This window comes from Homo sapiens, chromosome 9 (assembly GCF_000001405.40).
Source record: "Homo sapiens chromosome 9, GRCh38.p14 Primary Assembly".
Taxonomy (NCBI): Eukaryota; Metazoa; Chordata; class Mammalia; order Primates; family Hominidae; genus Homo; species Homo sapiens.
This window is the reverse complement of record NC_000009.12, coordinates 2,272,344-2,299,316: the sequence shown is the minus strand read 5'-3', so window position 1 is coordinate 2,299,316 and position 26,973 is coordinate 2,272,344. Positions and strand designations below refer to the sequence as shown.

The 26,973-nt window shown below is 43.3% G+C and overlaps 1 long non-coding RNA gene across 2 annotated transcripts, besides 4 other annotated features; it reads right to left on the bottom strand.

The window, feature by feature from the left end:
* Window positions 1-2,413: 2,413 nt before the first annotated feature.
* LOC105375955 (uncharacterized) lies at window positions 2,414-10,217 on the bottom strand. Of its 2 annotated transcripts, XR_929426.3 has the most exons (4): window positions 10,024-10,217; window positions 9,171-9,238; window positions 8,831-8,933; window positions 2,414-2,718 (listed from the first exon to the last, which is right to left on the bottom strand). It is a non-coding gene; the product is annotated as an uncharacterized LOC105375955 (long non-coding RNA). The 2 variants fall into 2 exon arrangements; XR_929427.2 differs by lacking the exon at window positions 9,171-9,238 and having other exon boundaries at window positions 10,024-10,101.
* Window positions 15,152-15,776: an enhancer, noted in NCBI's record as "OCT4-NANOG-H3K27ac hESC enhancer chr9:2283541-2284165 (GRCh37/hg19 assembly coordinates)". NCBI's record gives its function as "activates a minimal SCP1, AML or CMV promoter by ChIP-STARR-seq in naive and primed H9 embryonic stem cells {active_cell/tissue: H9 hESC(naive and primed)}" and the evidence as "EXISTENCE:reporter gene assay evidence [ECO:0000049][PMID:30033119]".
* Window positions 15,777-16,401: an enhancer, noted in NCBI's record as "OCT4-NANOG-H3K27ac-H3K4me1 hESC enhancer chr9:2282916-2283540 (GRCh37/hg19 assembly coordinates)". NCBI's record gives its function as "activates a minimal SCP1, AML or CMV promoter by ChIP-STARR-seq in naive and primed H9 embryonic stem cells {active_cell/tissue: H9 hESC(naive and primed)}" and the evidence as "EXISTENCE:reporter gene assay evidence [ECO:0000049][PMID:30033119]".
* Window positions 17,653-18,277: an enhancer, noted in NCBI's record as "OCT4-NANOG-H3K27ac-H3K4me1 hESC enhancer chr9:2281040-2281664 (GRCh37/hg19 assembly coordinates)". NCBI's record gives its function as "activates a minimal SCP1, AML or CMV promoter by ChIP-STARR-seq in naive and primed H9 embryonic stem cells {active_cell/tissue: H9 hESC(naive and primed)}" and the evidence as "EXISTENCE:reporter gene assay evidence [ECO:0000049][PMID:30033119]".
* Window positions 18,278-18,902: an enhancer, noted in NCBI's record as "OCT4-NANOG-H3K27ac-H3K4me1 hESC enhancer chr9:2280415-2281039 (GRCh37/hg19 assembly coordinates)". NCBI's record gives its function as "activates a minimal SCP1, AML or CMV promoter by ChIP-STARR-seq in naive and primed H9 embryonic stem cells {active_cell/tissue: H9 hESC(naive and primed)}" and the evidence as "EXISTENCE:reporter gene assay evidence [ECO:0000049][PMID:30033119]".

Sequence of the window (26,973 nt, the reverse complement as noted above, 5' to 3'; positions counted from 1 at the left end):
CCTGGTGATGACAAATCAGACACAGCAGGACCCAGAGCAGGTGCCCTTTTCCTTGTTTAGGATTCTGAGTGTTTCGAAGTATCGATCATGCACCAGATGTCACTAAAAGAGGTTTTATTTGAAACAGTCTGACTTAATGAGGCTCAGATTGTTGCTGTGAGCTTGTGGGGAGAGAGTAGGTATACACAAGCAGAGGTAAATTTACCCTGGAGCTAATAAGCCTCACGCTTCACGGCCTGTCACTTGCCTACGTTTCTTCCAAGGCCCTGTCCTCAATTTTGTATTTGTAATTTTATACTCACTTTCTTAAAGAGCACTCCCATATTGTTAGGTTTCATGGCCCACAAAACCAGCCACCCCAGTACACCAGAGCCTTTGGTCCATGTTGCCACCAGGCTGAACGCAGACATGCACACACGTGCTCATGGGGGTCAGCCCTTGCGAAATTAGAAAATGCAGAATCTGTCACTGACATCCTTCTCCTCCACCTGCCTTTTCTCTCAGAGCCTGTGGCCTTGCCTCTTAGAATTCTCCATGCTCCCACTAACCATACATCCCCACTCTGCTTGGTGCACTCAACTGCCTACTTTTCCCACACCCCATTATCCAATATAGTGGTCTCCAAACTACAGCCCTTGGGACAAATCTAGTCCACCACCTGTTTTTGTAACTAAAGTTACACATCTTGTGTGTGGCTGCTTTTGTGAGGCAGAATTGAGTAGTTGCAACAGAGACTAAATTGCCCCAAAGCCTAAAATATTTACTCTCTGGCCTTTTACAGAAAACAAGTGTGCCAACCTCTGGTTGAATCCCCAGTAACTTCATAACTAATATTGACAATTCATTTCATCAGCCAAAGATCTGCTTAAAAATAAACCTACTCATGCTCTCTCCTACTGCTTCCCTCTACGCTTGAAATGAAAACCAGCTTCTGCCCAGGCCCCACAGACTTTCCATGGCCAACACTGCCTGACTCTCTGATCTGTTCTGACTGTCCCCCTTTCACTCACTATTCCACACTCTCTTTCCACATGTGCTGGTTTTGTGTTACATGTGCTAGTTTCTTTTCTTATACCTCCTGCAATTATCCTGTGTGCTTGCTTGTTTACTTGTTTACCATTGGTTTCCTCCAATGGTGTTCCTCCCAGAACCACAGGCTTGTCTATCTTACTCAATGTTGGGAAGTATCTAAAGCTGTGCCTGGCATATAGAGTAGGCCATCAAGAAACATTTGTTAAACAAATAAATGAGCAGAATGGTGACGATTTAATAAGGGGATTCTGAAACCTGAAAAGGAAGGGCCATTAATACAGGAATTTCAGAATTACACACATAGCTGGAATTTCAGAATTGCACAAATTGCACAACTCTAGGAATGGCCATCCCTATGTTGCAGGGAGATTAACCAAGGGTTCTGATATGGTTTGGCTCTATGTCCCCACCCAACTCTCATCTTGAATTGTAATCCCCACATGTTGAGGGAGAGACCTGGTGGGAGGTGATTGGATCATGGGGATGGTTTCTTCCATGCTGTTCTCATGACAGTGAGGGAGTTCTCGTGAGATCTTGATGGTTTAAAAGTGTGGCACTTCCTCGTGCTTGCTCGGTCTCTCCTGCTGCCGTGTAAGATGTGCCTTGCTTCCCCTTTGCCTTCTGCCATGATTGTAAGTTTCCTGAGGCCTCTCCAGCCATGCAGAACTGTGAATCAATTAAAACTCTTTTGTTTAGTTTAGAAATTACCCAGTCTCAGATTGTATCTTTATAGCAGTGTGAGAATAGACTGATAAAGGGTAAATCAGAATTTCTTTCTGGGACTTTTGAGGATGTAGGTTTTAGGTTTAACTCCTTACCAGGGAACCACCCAAAGGTCATATAGATTTAGTGTAAGCCACAGTTTAGTACTTCCACTGGAGAAAGAAAACTCACATTAGGGTTCAGGCTGAACACATGAACCTAGTTGTTTATCACTGTGACATATTTCAATAGACAGCTTCTGACACTGGAGCAATAACCGGAGACAAGGCTTTCACTTTAAAACTTCCTTTTTGGTAGTAACAAGCATCCTTAATGTCATGCACAGTCTTGGCATTAACCAGTGACTTTTTTCAAAAATCTCTCCCTGTTGCTGCTCCCATTCATGCCAGCCTCACTCCAGTCACTCTGGGCAAGCTCAGAACATTCTCTATGTGCTTCCACTTCCACAGCTTTCTTACTCTCCTCTCCATGCCTCTCACCATCACCACTTGCCCAAGGTCTGGCCATTTCTAAAGCTATACTTATACCCTACCTCCCCCTATCCCAGAGATCTCCCAAATTAGCATTAATTTCTTCTTTTCTAACACTCTATTGCACTTTCTTTCTACTACACTAGTTGCCTATGGCTGGATAGCAGACCATCCCAAACTGTAACCAGTTAAAACAACTGGCATTTTATTTTATCTAATGATTTTGGATCAGGAATTCGGAAAGGGCTCAGGTTGGCAATTTTTCTTCTTCACGTGATATAAACTGAAGTCACTAGGTGGAATTCATCTGGTGAATGAGTAAGTATGGTCTAAGACAGCTCACTCAATGTTTAACACATTGGTGGGAATGGAGTGTCTAGATGTTCTCTAGCATGTGTAGGTGGGTAGTCAGGCTTCTTTTCAGCAACTCAGAGACCCCAGATAGAGTTCCAGAAGACAAGAAGTAGAAGCTTCTTGGGTTGCAGTTTTCTGTCTGAAAATAAAACCTTTCATTAATGAGATGGTCTCCCAGATGGCTCCAGCCCCAAGAGTCTGATGCTTTAACTCCATCCCAGAGTGTGTGTACTCAGCCATTAATCCCTTCCTTACTTGGAAGGTAGGAGATTTCTAGGAATCTCAGACAAATCACAGTAGAATTGTTTAAGAGCTGTTTGTCTAAAGGACTAAGAGCTATGCACCAACATGGTAGAACAGGATTGCAAATGCATACTTCACTAAGCTGGCAAAAACAAAACAAAACAAAATACAAGCTTCTTTATAGTCTTTAACTGATCCAGTCTTCCTTATTAACTGCCAGTCTCCCTCCCAATCTTGCTAGATAGTAGGGAGATGGGGTGAGAATAAGGGCAGAATTTGGAAATTAATAGTATCTACATATTCAAATGCTTTTTTGGGAACAAACATTCATATAATTTTAACTTAAACTCTTTGAACAGAGCTGTTTACCCCCGTCTTCTTCCTGCTTTTCAAGATGGCTTCTGGGTGGAGGTGAAAGCTTGAGGGTATTTCTGATAACTGGGGGAGTGGAGACATAGGAAGGGGGTTGAGGTGGTGAGAGAAAGCTGGCCTGGGTACTGCCCCTCTCTGCCAACCTGGCATGGGGTGTCGATCTGATCTCAGGATTGGCATTTGCCAATTCTGACAATTTCACCTGGCCTCGTGGCATGAAGTTTATCATCTGATGCTCATGGCTGGCATTTGTTGTTGACTTTCCTGTCCTTGGTAGTTGCTTATTTCTGATGCCAGGCCCTTCTTGGCAGCTCTGTGAGTTCTCACCAGGCCATGAAGCAAGCTTCAGACCTTTTACCCAACACACCAAAGTTCAGCAGAGCCAAGAGAGCTTCCAGAGGCTCGCCCCTCAAGCCACTTTCCTCTACTGGTGCTGCCCCATATCCTTCTACCAGATTTTTCCTAGAGACCTGAAGTCCTCATAAGGCCTTGCTTGAAAAAAGGGCCACAGCATTACAAAACTCCAGGAATGGCCGTTCACAAAGAATACAATGTAACTGGTGCCCCTGCAGTTGCAAAGCACAGAGGTTCCAGTGAGGGTAGCAGGCCACCAACCTCAGTGTTGGATTCACTCAAGATTCTCCCAAGAAGCGAAACTGTGAACACATGTGTTTAACTCTTTGGCTGTTCCCTGGTTCCTATCTTCTTCTTCCCACAATTCCTCAACCCTAAAGATGCAAGATTTCTCCCTGCCTTTCCGGTGTAGCCAAGGCTTCCCTTACATTATATGCTAAGTTTTCTCTATCAAGGTTTATAGAAACTCTATGAGCCAGTCCACCAGCAATGATTCCTGACATGTTAATGGGAGCTCAAGGAATTTAGAAATTTATTTTTCTTCACCAAAGCCTGACTTTGAAGACTATTATCTTGCTAGTGACTCAAAAATCCTATTTGCTAGTCAAAGATGAGAAATAACTCCATTGCTAGAGTTGGCCTCCACCCTTTCCCTGAAGATCTTAAATCCATTGCTTCATGACTGGAAGGCCCCAGGGCAACCATCATTCTAGGAGATGGAACACTTCAGAAATTGTATGTTAAATTATTAGCCCTCATATGCATATATGTTACAAACATTGTTTTCATGTTTTATACAAATATTGACATTACAGGGCTCTCAGGGGTTAAGAAATAAGATGAAAGCTCTTTCTTATGCTGATAAAATATTCACTTCCTATTACCTTCTTCCCAGGTCCTTTCTTAACTGGGTATGAAACCTTTGCTCCTAAGGTGGTAACTGAGGGATGGATGAGATGATTTCAAACCAGAGAGTTGATAAAATGGGAGTACACAGGTGAGATTCACATGTGACAAAAACGCAAGGCTTGCAAATGTGGTGAGTGAATTCAGAGCAGATGCTTTCCCTGTTACCACTTGATGGAACCTCCTTAGGATGTAGAAGTGAATCCAAAATAGCAGCGATTCCATGCTCCAACTTCAGCTCCCATCCTAATCACAGGCTTCAGCCGAGTTGAGGCCATGTGCTCTGGCAAGGCTTTCTGTGTAACTTAAATCAAGTTTCGTCTCTGATTTATTAGGATTTTGTTAAATTGCTAATACCATTATTCTACCCTCATCCATTTCATCAGCAGCAGTTTAAACTCAGTCGCCTTGAATCAGTCACAAACAGTCCCAAAGGTTTATTTGGCCTTATATTTCTTAACACAATTTATAGCATTCAAATACTGAGTTAGATTTCAGGATGACATTTATCAAGCCTACTGTAATATGCCCTTGGCTTTTTTCTCTTCATCCCTTTCATCTATCTTGGCAGTAAAAGTGCTGCTGCTTTACCTCTGTTCCATATGATCAGGTTAAATCACTTTTTCTTTCCTAGGCCCCTATTTCAGCAGTGCCTTAGAGCTCATCTACATGAACCGCTTAAGCTTCTTTCCTTCCATAAAGCTTTGTAATAAACTTTCTTCTTCAAATACAGTTTCCCCCAGGACATACCCCAAATTTGGTCTTTTTCAAATGCAGGAATTGCTTACATTCCTGCATTTGATATCTTTCCCAAAGATGGGATATTATCTTTCCCAAAGAAAGAGGGATATCATCTTTCCCAAAGAACAGATTTGGTCTCATGGACCTCCAAGCATGTGTGTGTTCATGGGAACAAAGAGCTGAAATACTACAATCTAGTCTGAAAAAATCTCATTTAGAGGGCTCATTGTCTGAAGCGGATTACTCTCCAATAGCTAAGTTTCCAGGACTCCGGCCTAAGAGGCAGAATTCCCAGGATTAACAGAAATATAACTGCTCTGTCCTGAGCTCTCACAGACTCTAAGAGGTTGGAGTGGGATCAGCCAGTCCAACCCCACTTATTTCATAACTAGGGAATCTGAGATCTAAAGAAACTTCAACAAAGGAAGCTTATCATCCTAGTAAGTTGCCAGGCAAAGTCTCAGATGTGCCCTGTGAGTATTTTAGCGTTATTCATTCCCTGTGTTACAAAAACTCACATTGTACAAACTTCAAGAGAAAAAGAGCACAGGCTCTAAGAATGGGCAATTCCAAGTTTGCATTAAAACTCCAGCACCTACTGGATATTCAGGCAGAATGTATTTCTCACCTTTGAAATGGATTACAACACTGCTCCCTTGGAACATCATGGAGCACCCACATAGCACATGGGACATTTCAGAGCTTGGTAAATGGCAGCTAAACAGTAATTTTAAAGAGCCTGGGGCATGGACATCTGGGGGAAAAGGCTTAGGAGTTGGGAGGTAGGTGGAAACTGAGAACAAATAGAGAGATCAGTGAAAACCATGTGTGGGTTTGGCACAGTCTACCAATGCCTAGCTTAAGATTGCAGGACCAATTTGGAGGACTGATTATCTCAGCCAGCCAGTCAAGCCACTACAGCTCAGACAATTCAATTTTCTGGAGTTCTCTAGATCCTACCTCACGTCATTCATTTAATTCTTGCTCCTGTCTCATAGAAAGAAAGAACAGAGGAATTAAAGAGAGAAGAAAAAGAGGCTGATCAGAGCCTGCCATCATTACAGCGAGAAAACTAGACCACACTTAAGTGAGCCTCCCCCTCTCTCCCTCACTTTTATTACTGGTGCTGTACAGTGAGTGCATATTTCATTGTTCAACTTCTCAAAAATAGAAGTCCTTTATATCACTCAGTCTTCCTGGTACATGGCTGGGCACAAGGACAGGCATCCAATAAATCATTTGTAAAGTCATGAGGCTGAAAGGGAGTTGAGAATAAACCCACTCATTTTCCCACTGAGAAGATGGAACGAGGAAGGAAACTAGAGAAAGTTAACAGATAATCAGCCCTTCTTATGTTTGGATGTAAGAGTGGGTTTAACAGTGTCCAGAAGATCAAAGCTCAATCCACACTCCTTCCTCCTAAACATGCTTTATGTCTCTTTGTTCAAAGTGGCCAGAAGGCAGCCCAAGGCTTCTGTTTTCACTCAACCTCCTAGCTGAATCTTGCAATATTGCTTCATTTAGTAGGTCCACAGTCATGTAAGAGAACAATTTCCTCTTCCTTGAAACTTTTATATGGCCTTTGTTCTCCTGCTAGGCCAGTTCCCAACTAAAGTTGAATTTCCAGTTTAGAAGTGAACACATGGCCATGTGATTTAATACATTCTCGCTAGTCGAACTGGAAAAGTCTGTCTTTAGAAATATTGTATACAGCTGCAGCTGAGACCCAAGGCTACGGTTTACCCGCAGATAATACTAGGGCCAGAAAAAATTCTATATTAAGGTTCAGTGATCCCAAACTCAGACAACTGTCGCCAAAGCTGGGCAAGTTAATGCCACCGTCTGCAACAGCTGGGTTTCCACAAATACCACCACGCCTCTCACTCATCAGAGGTATTGTGTCTCCAAAGCCATGTTGGTTTTGCAAGACTGCCTGCTACTTGGCACCATTTCAATGTGTGACTATTTCCATTCAAGATCTCCCCATCTGGCAGCAGCCTAGGCAGTCATGCCCTGGTGTGCTGGTGGTGTTCTTACAAGAGGATCAGGCCACTGGGATTGTAACACCTGCCTCTGGGCTATGCGGGAAGTAGCCAGGGAAAACAAAAGAACACAGGGTATGGCTGCAAATAAATAAATTTAAAATGTTGCATGCTGTTGCTGTAGCCAGGTGACAGAAGCCCATCTGGATATAATCTACTCTTTGGAAGCAGAGTCAGATATCCAAGAAGTGACAGATGCACACATACAGAATTTTTATCCATCAGTGAACTTGCAAAGTTTAAATTCTCTATAGTGCTCCCTTATTTGGGATATTTGCACAACTAATGATAATATCTTTTCAGATATATCTTTTCAGGGACACCACAAATTTCACGATGCTTCCCTGGGCTCAAAAGATTCAGTCAGTCTAATCACATCTAGTCTCTAGGAGATGGATAATGAGAAAAGTCAGAGCTGCTATGTCTTCATCCTGGTGACCTCTCATGGAGAGCTTAATTAAAGTATTTAGGAGGAAGGAGGAGGGTATATGGTAGAAGCAGGTTTTAATTTTCTTTCTTAGCTAAAAATGTTCTATTATTCTATCTCAACACTAATAGAATCCTGATTTATTTTTCAAAATTTTCAGAGATGATTTCATGTGTTTTTCTAGGTAGTTCTAATATTTAGTAGGCAGTTATTCTTCCGATTCCACTGGGAAGTTAGAGTGGTGCCTTCCCATGTCCTTTGGAAGCCAAGAGGATGGTGCCTAGGACAATGTTTTGCATACAGTAAGTGCTCAATAAATGTTTGTTGTGTTGAATTAAGAAGGAACAAATATATCCACAGAGGGAAAAGGGCGGGGACTATATGAGAACAGAACTCAGTTGTTCCCGTAATCCCCAAGAATGATCCAGCAGTGGGATTTAGGAGTCAGCTGAAGTTGACTGCTCATCAGAGCAGGCTGTTGTAAGAATGATTCCAAGTCCTTCATCCATACTACTCATGCCCCTATTAGTGAGGGTTTTGTAAGGATGCAGTGGTGAAGTGGCAAGTTTTGCTATTTACTAGCTATATAGTCCTGCACAAATTATCTAATCTTTCTAAACCTCAGTTATCTTATCTCTAAAATGGTAATAATAATGAAATCTATCTAGTGTTGTTCTAGGGTCAGCTTTCACTGGTTTGCAAGAGGTGATTATCTGCTTCTCTTCCGGACTTTTTTCTCAGTGGCTCACAAAATAATGGCTCATGTCACAATCAATAGAGTGTTAAGAGTCAATGAAACATTATTATTTTCATCATCATCCTCATTATTATACTAGACCCTTTATAACAGTCCATGTAAATTATCTTTAAAATGTAAGAAAAAACACACTAATGTGCCACCACACATATAGTAGCAACCTGCTGATTCAAGGAGGAGCTTTGAAGTAGACAAGATCTCCCATCTTCACCCCTGCCTACAATTGGCAGCTTTCCCTCCTCCTTTCCTAACTCCTCCAACACAGCCCTCTCTCAGGAATGAGCCCATGGGGCCTCTAGCGTGGTGTGAGTGACTCCAGTGAATGTGACTTCCCATGAGCAGGTTTGCACTGACAGCCTAATGGCTCACTGGGCAAGGGGATCTGAGATCCCCTGCTAAAGACACTTACAGCAAGCAGAAGAAGGGGGCTGCTCTGGTGTAGAGGCTTTCCTGACACTGAAATCATCATGCAGGTGCTGTTTGCAGAGCTGCTAGCTTTACAACTCTGTTGCCTGGTGGGTGAAACATATCTGAAACTCAATACACGTTTGTTGAATAAGCCAATGAATGATTAAATGAATAATAATAATAAAGGTATACCAAATATGAAGAATTTAATATATGAAATAATCAAGTGTTACTTAGGATGTATTAAATTGTCCTTAAATATCTTGCTGGTGGAATGTAAATTGCTTTAGCGCTTTTAAAGGACAATTGCTGGTATGCATTAAAATTTCATATGTGCCTACCATGCTGTTTCAGGGAACCACTCATGCACAAACTAGAGTTCACAAGGATCTTCGTAGCTGTGTTGTCTCTAGTGGGAAAAAAAAAACTCTAATGAGTCTATCTATGAATAAGGAATGGGTTAATAAATGCTACTATATCCATAGCCATTCCGTATGCAACAGTTAGGAAGAATGAGGTTAATCTGTATATATTAATAGGAAAAGAAATATTAGTGAAATAAGAAAACAATTTACTGAACACTATATATAACATGATTTTTAAATTTTTTAAATATGAAAACCATTTTTTCTGTATTTCTGTATAAGAGCCTAAATGCACAAAAGAAGGTAACAACAGTTACCTCTAGAAAGGGGTATGGTCTAGAAAGCGTATGGTCAAAGTAGACTTTAGCTTTACTTTTATGCTTAGATTTTAAATTTTACAACTAAAATGTGTTCATGTATTATTTGTATAATTAACATTTTTAAAAAATAAAAGGGAAGCATAGCTAATGGATGTTCAGGCTGAGCCATAAATTTGTGCAGCAGCTATGTGAGCTTGTTCTCTGCTGAGGAGGGAGATGACGTGTCTGAACTGTGAGCATCCAAGCACAGCAGTGCAGAGCTGCTTAGAGTGGCTGCTCCTCCGGCTCTGAAAAATTATGAGCCAAGACAGAGGAAAGCAGGGTTCCCCAGATGCCACTGCAGTGACAATCATCTCCAAGGCTGTCTGGCAGGAAGGTACAGGCTGATGGGATGGCAGAGGCCCCTGCTTCCCTCTGCTGATGCCCAGAGAGGCGAGGGTCAGGGAGTGAGGGACAAGGGAAGAGTAGAGGGAGAGAGTATTGGAGTCATCCAAGACAGACATTGGTACCTGGTAATACCCGGTAACTGTGCCAAGAGCCAGGCCTTTCCATAGCTGAGAGTTCAGGGGATGTGATTTCTCCCCCCGTCCTTCATCCCCTCTACTCTAAACAGGGTGATTTCTCTGTGTTGGCACCAAGTGCAAACCCTCCTCACACCACAGTCATAGAGCCAGATGATAGCTCAAAAAGCTGTCTTGGTCACTCCTTGCTAGGAAGTTAGGAATTAAAGAGTCCCTGGAAAAAAGTAATCACAATACATATAGAATGTTCTTTTATCTTCCCTGGAAACCAAAATATTTGTTGTCCCTTTGTGAGTTCAATTTCTTATTTTTTAAAATTTTCACAGAATGGGATTACACCACCTTGCTTGGTCTCCATCCAACTGTCCATGTATTCGTTAATCCACCCAATCACATTTATTTAGCACCAACTACATATATATCAGTACTACAGGATACCTGATCTTGAAGGTGGAAAGTTTCAAAGAAGGCTTTGAGGAGGTAACATGAAGAATGGGTACAGTAAGTAAGCCATATCCGGGCAAACTTTTGGGAGTGTGACTGTAGGGTGAGAGTAGGATGAGGGAAGGGACCAAGCAAGAGTACTCCAGGCTAAAGGGAAAACATGGGTTGCAGCACATTTTAGCAACTCCAACTCCCCTATACCCACAGAAGAAAAAAGCAAGTGTGGAGCAACTCTAAACTTAGTGATGAGGAAGTAAGTTAGAGTCCCTGTGAAATGGGAGAGTTCCCGGTTCCCCCTCTCAGTACTTGTGACAGGGGTGTGGAGTGACTGACAGGTCACCGTCCTGCTGCTTCTCAAACCCCTTGCGGGAAAGGGAGCACGCAGAAGGGCAGATGCAGAGCTGGGGCGAGCACTTTGGGCTCCAGCCCCATGGTAGGGTCTCGAGGTGGGCGCCTGCAATCCCAGTGCTACAATGCTGTCTTAGCCTTGCTGTCCACAGATGGCTTTAAGTGTTAACCAGCTCTATGGACCCTCTGCCTTTTTGCAAGGTCAGAGGGCCAGTGTGAAATCTTTCTGTATCCCGAGTTCTTATCCAGCATCCCGGGAGTATCGGGTCACACACGGGCTTGAAGGATCAACGCAGGGTTTCGTCGAGTGGTGGAGGTGGCTCTTGGCGGGATGGATGGGAAAGCGGAAGTGGGGGATGGAGTGGGAAGATGATCTTCCCCTGGAGTTGGGCTGTCCAGCTGCCAAACTCCTTTCCAACCACCCCCAGCTGAACGTTCCTCTTCCTGTCTCCCTGCTGTGTCCTTCTGCCGTCCCTCTGCTTCTCTTCATCTGCTGGTCTGCTCCTGGAGCCTGGGGTTTGAGGTTTATATGGGTGCAGGATAGGGAACGTAGCAGGCCGAAAGGCAACTTCTTGAGTGCAAAAACAGGAATGCCTGTCCTCATTTAGGGCCAAGGTTCTTCAGGCTTGAGGGTGGGGTTCTTGCCAGGAAACCACCCTCTTCTACTCAGTATCTCCCTGTCTCCTGTCTATATCACCTGTGGGATGCTAGATGCGTTTTTACAAAGCACAGGAACATCATTCAGAAGGATTTTCATGTGTGTTAATGAAATATCAAAAAGGCTGTGGAGACAGAAATGCAAAGTCATTGAGGACTGGAAACCGAATTTCTGACAAAGAGAAGCTTGGTTAAGAGGGTGATGGCATTTTTTACCTCCAAACTGTGGACAGCTGTACAGTCTGAAATGCTCAGGAGAGACTCCATCAAGCTGAAAGCAGGAATCAAGTTTCCCAAAGCCAGGCTGTTTGAGCCCTTTACCTCCTTGGCCAGCCTTTTTTAATTTTTTAATTAAAAAATCAGTTCCAGTGGTTCTCCCATGCTCAAGAAAAGCAACCGTACACTCTAACTTACTTTCAAATACCTTGCCACTTTTACTCCAGATAGAGCCACATAAAAGCCAAGAGATAAATCAAATTGCTTGTCAGAATATCAGGTAGGCTAGGGACTGCTGGGATAAAAAAAAACCTGCTGTGGACTTCAATGGCTCTAGAATTGGCAAAAACATGTGAAATCATTCCTGAAGAGCTCAGGTGAGTGCCCTGCAGGTAGCCAGGCGGGCACTCTACCCTCCTTTAGGCTCTGAATCCAGCCCAGATTCATGATAACGTTTGCAAATGGTGTATTCATAAAACACTTTTTGGTGATACTCTAAAAGGGAGCTGGAGGGTCATTTTGTTAATGATTAACTGACAACACAACCAAAGCTCATTGAGCAGCTACTGTGTGTCCTTGGAGTTAGAACTCAAGGATGGAATGGGGGAGGGGGATGGCTGCAAAATGGTGTAAAAAGAATTCAAGACTGGCAGGTATCATGCTGGACCCCTGTTGACTTCATTCAATAGGAATGGCATCGTGTTTGAGAGGCTAAAGACCTGGCACCAGTGAACAAGACATAGGGTTTATTGAGGGAACTTACATACAGGGCAGTCCCGTCCAGTGGTGGTGGACTAGACAGGAGAACTGTAACAACTTGTATAAAGCATGCAGTTTATATAGTGTTTTCACTTAACACCCTCCTCCTAGGAACCTCTACCCATTAACCTTCACTTAACCCAAAACAAAGAGCCTTGATCCTCTGTACAGCCTGTGCTCCACAGGATGGGCCAAGGGATAAGGAATGAATCTCCATGTTGGCTACTTCTGGATTCCTTAGCTTACAGCTACAAACACACATTCTTCTTAGACCATAGGGTCATTCTCAGAGTGTGCCTAAGTTATGTTATTGCTGTCAGGTGTGTCTGTCATACAGAAGGCTCTTGATTGGATGTAGTACACAGTGCACATTAGGGAGGGGCCTTAGAGTCCCACTTTCCTGTTCATTCACTGTGTGGCTTTGATCTGTGCACTTCAGTTTCCTCTTCTATAAAATGGGATCAATACTATCTTCTAGGCCAGGTGAGGTGGTTCACGCCTGTAATCCTAGCACTTTGGGGGGCCAAGGCGGGTATATTGCCTGAGCTCAGGAGTTCGAGACCACCCTGGGCAACATGGTGAAACCCTGTCTCTACTAAAAATACAAAAAAAGATAGCTAGGCGTGGTGGCGCATGCCTGTAATCCCAGCTACTCCCAGGCTTGAACCTGGGAGGCGGATGTTGCAGTGAGCTGTGATCGCACCACTGCACTTCAGCCTGGATGACAGAGTGAGACTCCATCTCAAAAAAAAAACAAAAAAAAAAAACAAAAAACAAAAAAAAAAACCCTCTTCTACTTCAGGTGGTTACAATTAAAAGAGATAAGCATAAAGCATTTAGTTCAAAGAAAATTAGGCATTACTACAAGGGCAAAAAGTAGACTGCTAGGCAGCTTTTTATGAGTGAGCCAGGGAAACAGTAGGAGCCTAGAGGTTCTGGACATTTTTAAAATAAGGGCAGTGCAAATTCTAGCTATATATATCTCCTGAGGGCAATGCCTCACAAACGAACGCATTGGGTTTCCTTTCATTCTATATTGGTTCAGTTCTACATAGTTACAATTTGAATTTTTCAAATATTCAAGTTATGGAAATCACCCTTTGCAAAAACAACATTAAAATAATTAGAATCTGAAAAACAGATGCATTCTATTTGGAATGTAAATTAAGCCTTTAAGAGGAATTAGCTGTGGTCTATACTTAACACCTGCCAGCTCGTCACAGCTATTTCTCCCTCTTGGACCTGGTTAACGTGACAGAGGCATAAAACCTGTTGAAACATGAAACTATCCCAAATGGAAAATGCAGATGATTCACTACAGGTAAACTAACTTAGTCAATATTCATTACAAGTTGATGCAAATTATCACAGTAACAGTTCCTTCAAAAGACTGGTTGGTGAGGTTGTGATATACTAATTAAAATTATCTGGTTATCTGAAGCTCATTATTCACCTTCTTCAATTCTGCCTAAAATTAACCTCTTCCATTTCAGTAAATTCATCAGAAAATTTATTTGAATGAATTAGTTTATTAATTCACCACTTACTACTGAATTTCCATTGTGTGTCAGGCCCTGTAACACCTATTTTAGGGGTGTTACATATCATTGACCAAACATATCAGGCCCTGACTTCATGGATTTTCCTTTATAGAAGGACAGACAAAAAACTGAAAAGAAATATATATTAATATTGTCAGGTAGTGATTAAGTGTTGTAAAGATCAAGAAACTATAGGATGGAGTTACTTTAGAAAGGCTGGTCAAAATAGCCTCTCAGCAGAGGTGACATCTGAACAGACATAGGATGGAAAGGGGCAGCATGCCATATGGTTATCTAGAGATAAGCATGGTCCAGGGCAGGGAACAGTATGTGCAAAGGCCCTGAGGTGCTCAACATGCTTAAGGAGCAGAAAGCAGGGGTGGACAGGTTTGAGAGGCTAGGGGTAACATCAAGAAGTGGTCCAGAGCCAGATCTTGTAGGGTCTGTCGGTCACAGTGAGGGATTGGACTTTACTCAGGTGTTGATCCTGACTTTACAACAGGTGTTGATCCTGAGAGCAGTACCCAATAAAACTCTTGCACACAAATCTTAGAATATCAGAGTCTCTACCCTGGTAAACTCAACTGAAGGCAATTGTGAACAATAAATTATGTTATATAGGCCCGTATCTGTACATAGAGAAGTACAAGATGACAACAAACCTATTCTGATCAATGAGTTAATTTTTTAATTAAATTCCTGGCATAGGCTAATCATTTTTTTGTCACTGGGCTCTTTAAAAGTGGAATACTGACAAGAAAGGTGGAGGAGGTGGAGAGTATTCTGATGAGTTAGAAACTGGTTTTACTCTAATTTAGTTATCTTTAATACTCATGAGTCAATCAATTAGTTCATTTAAGGATATAGAGACTATATTAACAATATTTGACTACATGTGAATAAACGTCCAAAAGTAGAAATTTCTAGGAGTTTGCCAGCCTGGCCAACACAGCAAAACCCCGTAGCTACTAAAAATACAAAAATATTAGTTGGGCATGGTGTCTCATGCCTGTAGTACCAGCCACTCAGGAGGTGGAGGTTGCAGTGAGCCGAGATTGCACCACTGCACACCAGCCTGTGTGACAGAGCGAGGCTAAAACGAGAAATTTCTAGGAGTTTGATTATTCACTTTTCCTATGTTTGAAAAATATAAAATGCTCAACATAGAGAAAATGTTACTGAACCTTAAAGAATTTCCTGTTACTAATAAATGGTCCACTGAGTGTTCCTGCTCAGTTGAATTAAATCTTGTCATACATAATCTATATAGGCATTTGATATTATTGTCACAGTAAAAAATTGAAAGTTGAAAGCATATGATAATTTACCCACCAAAATAATTTGTTTGACCACCAATATACCTGATTTCAAAACAATAATGATGAGGACTAAGCTCTAATTTTTTCTTATCTTGCCAAATTCCTACCTAAGGGGTCTGGGGAGTCATGCCCTACAAACCACAAATTCTCATCAGATGGGTTTTATTTAACCCTATATATCTTGACTTACTTTCCAATCTGACTCTGGCATACCATTATGTGACAAGAAAATCAAAATATTTTACCCCAAACCATGTTTCTTTGCCACATTATGAAATAGCCCTGCAAAGCCATACTTTGTGGGGGAAAACTTGCATCTGTAAAGAATCTCTATTAGCATAGCTAGATCTTTTACTTCCAGGCCCTCCCAATCCTGAAGAGATTAACTGAGAGTCTAGCACCTTTTAAAGGTCTGAAAAGGAAACATTTGTCATCTATTGTCTCTAAGGACAGCCGCTGTGAGACTGCAAAAGAATCTTAATCTTTGGGATGCCAAGGCAGGCAGATCACCTGAGGTCAGGGGTTCAAGACCAGCCTGGCCAACATGGCAAAACCCTGCCTCTACTAAAAATACAAAAATTAGCTGGGTGTGGTGGCGCCTGCCTGTAGCCCCAACTACTCGGGAGTCTGAGGCAGGAGAATTGCTTGAACCCTGGGGGTGGAGTTTGCAGTGAGCCAAGATCATGCCACTGCACTCCAGCTTGGGCAATGAAGCGAGACTCTGTCTTTAAAAAAAAACAAACAACAAACAAACAAAAAACCTTGGTCTCCACAATCTTTTATCTTAATCTGAACATTTCCTTTCTATTGATTTTGGACCAAACCAATGTATTTCTCAAACATATTTGATTGATGTCTCATGCCTCCCTAAAATGTATAAAACCAGGCTGCATCCTGACCACCTTGGGTGGGCACATGTTCTCAGTACCGCCTGAGGGCTGTGTCCCAGGCCACGGTCACTCATATTTGGCTCAGAATAAATCTATTCGAATATTTTACAGAGTTTGACTCTTTTCCTCGAGAATGAAAATGTGCCTAGCCCTGCACTTTATTGCTATGATTCTTCTGCTAGTTGCTTACCAAGTGTCTATTGCTGCTTCTCTTTACTAACAGAATCTCTACATTGTCGGTGACAATGTGACCAACTGAAGCCAACATCTCCAGGTTTGGGAAGGCTGGGGTAGGGTGCAGGGAAAAGTATCTGGAAGTCATTTGGTGGGGCTTTCAAGGGAGGTGCCTCAGCTGGTGCGGTGGGCACCTTTTTTCAAAACACCAATCGGTGAGTCCCACCCAGCAGTTTCTGATGCAGTTGGTTTGAGGTGCCGCCAGAGTATTTTCTTTTCTAACGAGTTCCCGGGTGATGCTGTGGCTCTTGGTCTGGAGACCACACTATGAGAACCACTGCGTTTAGCTAGAGCCACAGTGGCTATTTTGTGACTAGAATATGACCTTCAGGGTAGAAATCAAGCCCTAAGTATTGTAGAACATAAAGACAGAAGAATCTGGGTTTCCACTCTGTGCTTCGAGTCATCCTACCTGCCTAGATATCCTTTTTCTGCGAAAAAATTAAAACCCTTATCTTAAGCCATGTTGGATTTTCTACCATATTCAGCTGAGCCTAATTGCATTTGATAAAAAGGCCTTAGGCCATATCTAATGTTTCCTTCCTCCAACTTTGTAGAAAATACTAGGTTTTATTTTTTTTCTCTAAATTAACAGAAAGTGGAATGTGACTTTAGCATTTGAACCCTGGCAATAAAAACCTTGAATCTGATATTAAATTTGGCTCTATAACTTCAGCCTAACAGTGAATCAGTGCTTATCCTAATAATTTTATGAGCATTTATGCACCCAGAGCCCAAGGTGCAGAGGTGGCAATGAGGTGATTTTTCTAGCACTAAATGAATTGTCTTCAGGATGGGGATGGAGGGAGTCCTAAGGCCTACTTCCCTGACATATCCATATAGGAATTTTTCTTCTCCCCACATGGAAACCACTAGATCAACAGATCAACAGACTTTTGTCTTTTATTCATGAGCAAGGAAAGATAAGGCTATGAGCTCATTCCAGTTATCATCCTATCTGATTACGGAAGAAAAACTTCACAATGTTTAAAGTTCCTGGGATGAAAAGTTATTTTGGAAAATTACACTATTTCTAAAGTTTCTTTGTTAAAACGGAGAATTTTGTGTACTTGCTTTTTGAAATATGTTTCTATCAAAGATTGAGAAAAGGCATGGCCATCAGTCTCAAATAAGAACATAGATGCTTGTAATTGGATGTTGCCATGGGTCCTTCTTTTCTGCTCTGGTTGAAATAACTAAAGGAGTCAAAACACTGATCCCTCACCCGCACATTCTCCAAATAGTTGCCTGGTGACACTTTCAGGGCTTCGCATGCAGGAAGAGGGCGGACCCTGTTTTGCCTGTCTCCCTCATCAGGGCAGGTACATTAGCTCCAGGACAGGTGACTTTCACTCGTGTCGGTGTGAAGAGACCACCAAACAGGCTTTGTGTGAGCAAAAAAGCTTTTAGTCACCTGGGTGCAGGCGGGCTGAGCCCGAAAAGAGAGTCAACAAAGGGAGATAGGGGTGGGGCCGTTTCATAAGATTTGGGTAGGTAAAGGAAAATTACAGTCAAAGGGGGGTTGTTCTCTGGCGGGCAGGGATGGGGGGTCACAAGGTGCTCAGTGAGGAAGCTTTTTAGCCAGGATGAGCCAGGAGAAGGAATTTCACAAGATAATGTCATCGGTTAAGGCAGCGACCGGCCATTGTCACTTCTTTTGTGGTGCAAAGTCATCAGTTAAGTCAGGGACTGGCCATTTTCACTTGTTTTATGGAGGAATGTCATCAGTTAAGGCAGGAACAGGTCATTTAAATTTCACTTCTTTTGTGATTCTTCAGTTACTTCAGGCCATCTGGATGTATACGTGTAGGTCACAGGGTATATGATGGCTTAGCTTGGGCTCAGAGGCCTGACATTCCTGTCTTCTTATATTAATAAGAAAAATAAAACAAAATAGTGTTGAAGTGTTGGGGCGGTGAAAATTTTGGGGGTGGTATGGAGCGATAATGGGCGATATTTCTCAGGGCTGCTTCGAGTGGGATTAGGGGCAGCGTCGGAACCTAGAGTGGGAGAGATTAAGCTGAAGGAAGATTTTGTGGTAAGGGGTGATATTGTGGAGTTGTTGGAAGAAACATTTGTCATTTAGAATTATTGGTGATGGCCTGGACACGGTTTTGTATGAATAGAAAAAGTAAATGGAGTAAGAGAAGGAGAACAGGTATTAAAGGACTAAGAATTGGGAGGACCTAGGACATCTAATTAGAGAGTGCCTTAGAAGGTTCAGCATAGCCTTGGCCAGCAAAGATTATTTATTTACTTTAAGAGTTAAGAGTGGCGGTTTGGGGATAGCACCAGGAGATATCAGCTGTGATGGCTTGGAGAAACAGTGTAAACTGGCAGTGTAAACAAGAGCAGGGAATTTATGAGTAGTTGAGAACGGTGAATAGGAGTATGACCAGACAGAAGATAGTAGCGATGACAAGTTTTTGGGGGCACAGTCCAAGTTGGTCTGGTGTCTGGAATGAGACTGGGGCCTAATAAAAAGGAGCGTCTATACAGGAGCTCAAATGGACTGTACCTTGTAGCATTCTGAGGACAGGCCTGAATTCTGAGAAGGGAAAGTGGTAAAAGTATTGTCCAGTCCTTTTTAAGTTGGTGGCTGAGCTTGGTGAGGTGTCTTTTTAAAAGACCATTAGTTCACTGAATACTAAGAGCCTGAGAAACTGCTTGGGTGATTTGACTAATAAAGGCCGGTCCCTTATAGGACTGTATAGAGGTGGGAAGGCCAAACCGAGGAATTATGTCTGACAGAAGGGAAGAAATGACAGTGGTGGCCTTCTTAGACCCTGTGGGAAAGGCCTTTACCTATCCAGTGAAAGTGTCTACCTAGACCAAGAGGTATTTTAGTTTCCTGACTCCGGGCATGTTGAGTAAAGCCCATTTGCTGGTCCTGGGTGGGGGCAAATCCCTGAGCTTGATGTGTAGGGAAGGGAGGGGGCCTGAATAATCCCTGAGGAGCAGTAGAATAGCAGATGGAACACTGAGAAGTTATTTCCTTGAGGATAGATTTCCACGATGGAAAGGAAATGAGAGGTTCTAAGAGGCGGGCTAGTGGCTTGTCCTATAGCACAGCCTGCCTTTGCTGATGTGTGGCGATTAGGCCTGGTGCAACTGCCATCAATAAACCAAGTGTGATTAGGGTGAGGAACAGGAAAGAAGGAAATATGGGGAAATGGAGTGAATGTCAGGTGGATCAGAGAGATACAGTCACGGGGGTCAGGTGTGGTATCAGGAATAATGTGGGAGGCCGGATTGAAGTCCGGGCCAGGAACAATGGTAATTATGGGAGACTTAACAAAGAGTGAGTACAGCTGAAGGAGCCGGGGAGCAGAAAGTATATGTGTCAGGTGTGAGGAAGAAAATAGATTTTGGAAGTTATGAGAACTGTAGAGAGTGAGTTGAGCATAGTTTGTGATTTTAAGGGCTCTAAAAGTATTAGGGCGGTGGCGGCCACTGCACGCAGAGTAGAGGGCTAGGCTAAAACAGTAAGGTCAAGTTGTTTGGATAAAAAGGCTACAGGGCGCGGTCCCAGTTCTTGTGTAAGAATTCCGACTGCACAGCCCTGCACTTCAGCTGTGTGTAATGAAAAGGGGTGGGATGAGTCAGGGAGAGCTAGGGTGGCGGCAGTCTCTAAAGCTGTCTTCAAGGAACGGAAAGAGGAGTGGGGACAGGATTTAGGATCTATGGGGTCAGCTAGGTTTCCTTTTGTGAGTTTATATAATAGTTTTGTTAGGATGGCAAAACCAGGTATCTAAAGTTGAAAGTATCTAACCATGCCTAGGAAGAAAGGAGTTGTTGTTTTGTAGAAGGTGCTGGGGTTTGAGAGATCAGTGGACACCATCGGCAGGGAGAGCACGTGTGTTTTTATGAGAATTATGCCGAGATAGGTAACAGATGAGGAAGAAATTTGGGCTTGACTGAAGTAATGGGGGCTGTCTGTGAAGCCTTGCGGCAGTACGGCCCAGGTAATTTGCTGAGCCTGATGGGTGTCAGGGTCAGTCCAAGTGAAAAGCGAAGAGAGGCTGGGATGAAGGGTGCAAAGGAATAGTAAAGAAAGCATGTTTGAGATCCAGAACAGAATAATGGATTGTGGAGGGAGGTATTGAGGATAGGAGAGTATATGGGTTTGGCACCATGGGGTGGATAGGCAAAACAATCTGGTTGATAAAGTGCAGATCCTGAACTAACCTGTAAGCCTCGTCTGGTTTTAGGACAGGTAAAATGGGGGAATTGTAAGGGGAGGTTATAGGCTTTAAAAGGCCATGCTGTAGCAGGCGAGTGATAACAGGCTTTAATCCTTTCAAAGCATGCTGTGGGATGGGATATTGGCACTGAGCAGGGTAAAGGTGATTACGTTTTAATGGGATGGTAAGGGGTGCATGATCGGTCGCTAAGGAGGGAGTAGAGGTGTCTTATACTTGTGGGTTAAGGTGGGGAGATACAAGGGGAGGATGTGAAGGAGGCTTTGAACTGGGGGAAAAGGCGGCAGTGAGGTGTGGCTGTAGCCCAGGAATAGTCAGGGAAGCAGATAATTTAGTTAAAGTGTGTCGGCCTAATAAGGGAACTGGGCAGGTGGGGATAACTAAAAAGGAGTGCTTAAAAGATCATTGTCTAAGCACCAGAGTTGGGGAGTTTTAAGAGGTTTAGAAGCCTGGCCGTCAATACCCACAACAGTTACGGAGGCGAGGGAAACAGGCCCTTGAAAAGAAGGTAATGTGGCGTGGGTAGCCTCCGCATTGATTAAGAAGGGGATAGACTTACCTTCCACTGTGAGAGTTAGCCAAAGCTCGGCGTCCGTGATGGTTTAGGGGGGCTTCCGAGGCCATCAGGCAGTGTCAGTCTTCAGCCGCTAAGCCGAGAAGATCTGAGAAGGAGTCAGAGAGCCTTGGGCTGGAGTTCCAGGGGCTCTGGGAGTGGCTGCCAGGTGAGTTGAACAGTCCAGTTTTCAGTGGGGTCCCACACAGATGGGATGCGGCTTAGGTGGAATCCCGGGCTGCGGGCATTCCTTGGCCTGGTGGCCAGATTTCTGGCACTTGTAGCAAGCTCCTGGGGGCGGCGGGCCTGGAGGAACGCCTGGCCACTGCGGTTTAGGCGTTTGGAAGTTCTTGTGTGCTGGAGATGTGGCTGGGGTTTGTCTCACAGTGGAGGCAAGGAATTGCAACTTTTTTCTATTATTGTACATCTTGAAAGCGAGGTTAATTAAGTCCTGTTGTGGGGTTTGAGAGCCGGAATTTAATTTTTGGAGCTTTATTTAAAGTCGAGAGCGGATTGGGTAATAAAATGTATATTGAGAATAAGACGGCCTTTTGACCTTTTAGGGTCTAGGGCTGTAAAGCGTCTCAGGGTTGCTGCCAAACAAGTCATGAACTGGGCTGGATTTTTATATTTGATGAAAAAGAGCCTAAATGCTAACTGATTTGGGAGAGGTCGGATAAAGAAAAAGGAGCTTTAACCTTGACTATGCCTTTAGCTCCAGCCATGTTTTTAAGAGGAAATTGCTGGGCAGGTGGGGGAGGGCCAGTCAAGGAACGAAACTGTAACCCAGACCGGGTGTGAGGAGGGGAGGTGATGAACGGATTACAGGGTGGAGGAGCGGAGGCTGAGGAAGAATTGGGACCTAGCTCGGCCTGGCGAGGAGCAGCCTGGGGAGGAGGGGAGAGGTCAGATGGGTCTGTAGAAAAGGAAGATTAGAAAGACTCAGCGACGCCTGGGGTTGGGACTGAGGGGACAGGTGAGAGGGAAGGGAGGAGGATTTGGGACGAGTCGCACTGGGAACAGAGACTAGGGAGGGGACAATGTGTAAAAGAATGTCTGGACGTCAGGCACCTCAGACTGTTTGCCTATTTTAGGACAAGAATTATTTAGATCTTGTAGGATGGAAAAATTGAAAGTGCCATTTTCTGGCTATTTGGAACCACTGTCGAGTTTGTCAAGCGGCATTGCAGAAGAAAATAAGGCGTTTGGGTTTAGGTCAGGTGTGAGTTGAAGAGGTTTTAAGTTCTTGAGAACACAGGCTAAGGGAGAAGGAGGAATGGAGGGTGGAAGCCTGCCCATAGTGAAGGAGGCAAGCCCAGAGAAAAGAGAGAGTAGAGACGCGGAGAGAAGGGGTGGGGAGTGCTTGCCCCGCAGGAAAGTGGAGAAGGGGTAGAGACACAGAGAGAAGGGGTCGGGGGGTTCTTGCCCTCCAGAAAAGCAGAAAAGGGGTAGAGACAGGAGAGAAGGGGTTGGGGGTTTCTTGCCCTCCAGAAAAGTGGAAAAGGGGTAGAGACGGAGAGAAGGGGTCGAGGGGTTCTTGCCCCGCAGAAAAGCGGTAGTTGGCACTAAGGGTGAAGGGACAAGGCAGGTGTCCCCATGTGGTCAGACACCCCTGAAGCGCGGGTGAATAATCAGGCAGGCATCCCAGCGTAATTAAACACCAAGGAAGACTGTCTTCCCAAGTCTGTGACCAGCGCCGGAGTTTTGGGTTCAGGGATAAAACACATCTCCTTTGTCTCTACCAGAAAAGGAAAGGAACTGAAATTAAGAGAAGGGTGAGATTGAAGTGTGGCGCCAAGATTGAAAGGAGAAAGAGGTTGAGGGATAGTAAGAGAGGTTGGAGAAGAGAGTAAAAGCCCGCTTACCCGATTTAAAATTGCTGAGATGTTCCTTGGGCTGGTCGGTCTGAGGACCCGAGGTCGTAGGTGGATCTTTCTCATGGAGCAAAAAGCAGGAGGACAGGGGATTGATCTCCCAAGGGAGGTCCCCTGATCCGAGTCACGGCACGAAACTTCACTCGCGTCCGTGTGAAGAGACCACCAAACAGGCTTTGTGTGAGCAATGAAGCTTTTAATCACCTGGGTGCAGGCGGGCTGAGTCCGAAAAGAGAGTGAAGGGAGATAGGAGTGGGGCCGTTTTATAAGATTTGGGTAAGCAAAGGAAAATTACAGTCAAAGGGGGGTTGTTCTCTGGCGGGCAGGAGTAGGGGTCACAAGGTGCTCAGTGGGGGAGATTTTTGAGCCAGGATGAGCCAGGAAACGGAATTTCACAAGGTAATGTCATCAGTTAAGGCAGGAACAGGCCATTTAAATTTCACTTCTTTTGTGATTCTTCAGTTACTTCAAGCCGTCTGGATGTATATGTGCAGGTCACGGGGGATATGATGGCTTAGCTTGGGCTCAGAGGCCTGACAGTGACTATTTGGATGTTTCACAAATTCCACCTACAGGATAAGGGCCGAAAGTGGTGTGGATAATTCAAGCATTGGAAATTAACCTTTGTCTCAGACGGCATACAGCAGACGCTAGATCTGTATTTAAAGGCAGAGTATCTGGGAAGAAATAAAAACACTGACCCTACGCTCAGAAACCTATGCCTTAAGATGTTCAGCAAATATTTTTTCAAAAGCACTTCGTTGTTTTCCTAGTTTATAGTCTGTTCCCCCACTTTCAAACTAAACTACAAGATATAAATTTTCTGTCCTATAACTTTCTAAGATGCAATAAGCTGGCTCTGGGTCACTCCATCGAGTCTCCCCAAAAATGCACATTTCACTGTGGTTCCCATTCTCTCTCACCGGCCCTTGTGGCTTCTCAGCGTCCAGCCTCATTGTGCCAACAGGGCTGAAGCCTAATGGGAAAATTAGGTGACCAAGGGGTCCAAAAACATGGCAGGTTATGTGGTTGCCATTTACTTTAAGCAGAATTAAATCCCTCCTGAACAGAAGGCAAAGGTAAAGCAAGTCACGGGCTAACAATCTAGGGTTTCAGTTTTTTCATTTTTAACATGGGGGTCATTAGCTACTGACCCTCCCTTGTGGGTGTGATAAGCATTCAGCAGCCCCCAGATAGAGATGAGGCCAAGTTTCCTTCTACCCCTCACTCTCCCATACGTACACAGACCTCAGGTAACTAGGGCCCCTTCCTTTTTTGGCTTTATGCATAGTCAGCAAAGTTGGGTGTGGAAAGGGTGGGTCATATGCATAAGGAATAAATTTGAAGGAGCCAGCAGATGCCCCAGTGCACAGCCAGGGTCAGTCCTGCATATAACAAAATGAAGTCCTTCACTACATCATTCCCCGGCACAGGCAATGGGGCGAATGTGTAATTATTCATTCTTGCAAAAATGAAGTGAGAAGAGCAATGATTCAGCACCCAGGTAGCTTCTGAATTTTCAAATGATTCTTCTTCAAGGGCCACCCACTTTTTAAATATAATAATTTTCTCCTGTTTTGAGAGACCTACCCAGAATCACTTCCAAGTTCTGGGTTATTCATCAGGTAAATCCTTCTCTATCTCTCTCCCACCTCTCCTCTAATCTCCCTTTTGCTCTGAAGGAAACCCCCAATTGCCCTGAAGCATTTTCTTCTTTGAATACCCCCTTTCCTTTAAGCTCTTCCTCAAAATCCTTCTTCCTTTTTTTTTAACAGTAGATGTGGATGCCCTAATATACATGGAACCCAAAAGAATGGGAACTAGTGCTATTACCTTAAAGGACAAGAGGTGTAAGATCTTTCTAGGGCAGCACAGAAAAGAAACGGGAGGAACAATTTACTTTCCATGTTAGTATTCCTGGATTCCTAACCTTTCACACGTGCAGCCATCACTGTGGGAACACTGAGGACTTCAGGAATGGCTCTTGACAGGAGCCCAGCAGTGCCAACACACTCTTACTACTGTAAATGTTAAATAACAAGAAAACAATTCGGTTTCTGAGATGCACTCAGTGGGTGTTTATTCTTTGCAATCATTATTGGCATCTGAAGTCCTGGGTTGAGGAATTAGAATCAACAGTTCTTTTTCCATTTCAATTTTTGCAACATGGTGGGAATAATTTCTTTTTCGGTTTGCTTTGAATTATAGGCAAAAGCTCCCAAGTGCGTGGTTGAGATGTTACCAAGGTGTTCACATTCAAATTTCCTAGTAGGAGGTACTCGGTGAGGTTCTGGAATTGATAAAGCTTTTCAGTCTGGCACTACTTGACCTCTGGCAGTAGATCCATCCAGTCCCATAAAAGCTAGAGTCTGAGGGGGCAAAGTCAAGAGCCCAGGTCAGGATCAGCCATTTCAGAAGGATACACAATGCTGCCTCGACAATAACAGCAGCCTCTTTTTGGTCAATTAATGTTCTCCCAATGGTCCATGAGTGCAAATGACTCCAGATAGTGATGGTTCAGCAGAATAAATCAGAAAAGCTTCCTATTCTCCCTGTTATTAGAAGGGTATGACTTTCAAAGTAATAAAGCACATCATTTTCATTTTATCTCCCCATGAAAGAGCTTGGACCAAACATCCCTAACGCACAGCTCCCAAAATGCAAATTATTTTCAGCTAAGCTTCAGAGTTGATTTTCTTTTTCCTGATGGCCTCCTTTCTTGATTAAATCCTGGAGCTTCGTTTGATACATTAAGTCAGGACTAGAGTCCCTGAAAACAAACCAGATTTAAAATACCATTCATTATCTAGGAAGCTGTTTCTTTCCCTGATTTGTTTGCTGAAAAGGAGAGTGAAAGATGAGAGGAGAACCAAAGAAAAAAAAGCAGGACAATGGAGAGAAGAAGGAGATGAAAGGAGAAAGGGAGATGACAAATACAGTAAATAGATTTGAAAACAGATGTGCAATGAATGAAAATCTGTCCAATTATTTTTCTCAATTAAAAAGTGTCTCATCCTGAATATCTGTATCAGATTCTTACCTATATTCATGTATTATTTTCTGCACAGAGAATACTGCATAAACATCTCAGCAATGGATTTACTTGATCAGAAATTATACTAATGACGATGCTTCAATACAAGATTTCTAAAAATGTGGAGAATTTTTGGTAGTTTTTGAAACAAAGGATTTAAAAAGTAACAAACAGCGTTCAGCATCATGATCATTGTCAGGGTCATCATTCGTTATTGTCGTCAGTGCCACTGTTGATATTAGTAAACCTGCAGCATAACTATTTTGATCCCTAAAGCAAGCAAGAGTTTGAATTAGGTTGAAATTACCATCTCAGGATTGGGTTTAATGCTTTTTCTGAATATACAGAGAAACTTAGGTGGCATTTAACAAATGAGTTAATTTCTTCCTTTAACGATGCTTAATTAGCAAACATCAGGCAATTGGAATGAGTAGGCAGCTTCTACAGTAGAGAACAAGGACTTAAAAAGCCAGTAATTCCCAGCACTGTAGAAATCACTAAAAGGATGTTGAGGGTTTTTTTTCCAATTTAGTCTTGTTGAAAACAATATGAAATAAACATTTTCTCACTTTCAAGAAACCACCTCTATCCTCTAGACCTTGATCATGGTGGGGAGGATGACAAGTAGCTTGGGACTTGGTGCTTATTAAAGGCTTGACAGACATGAGCTGAATCAAAATCTGAACAAGAAGAACAAATAGTTTTAAGGGACCCCATCTACATCACAGCTCCTGCCCCATCACCACAATCTCAAAAAAACTTCTCTCCTATAATCCCACTATTAGCAAAGCATTCTTTTAATTTAACAAGCTTCTATTTAAAAAGTGAAAACAAGTCATTGGGAAGGTTAACGTAATTGGCAGTAAG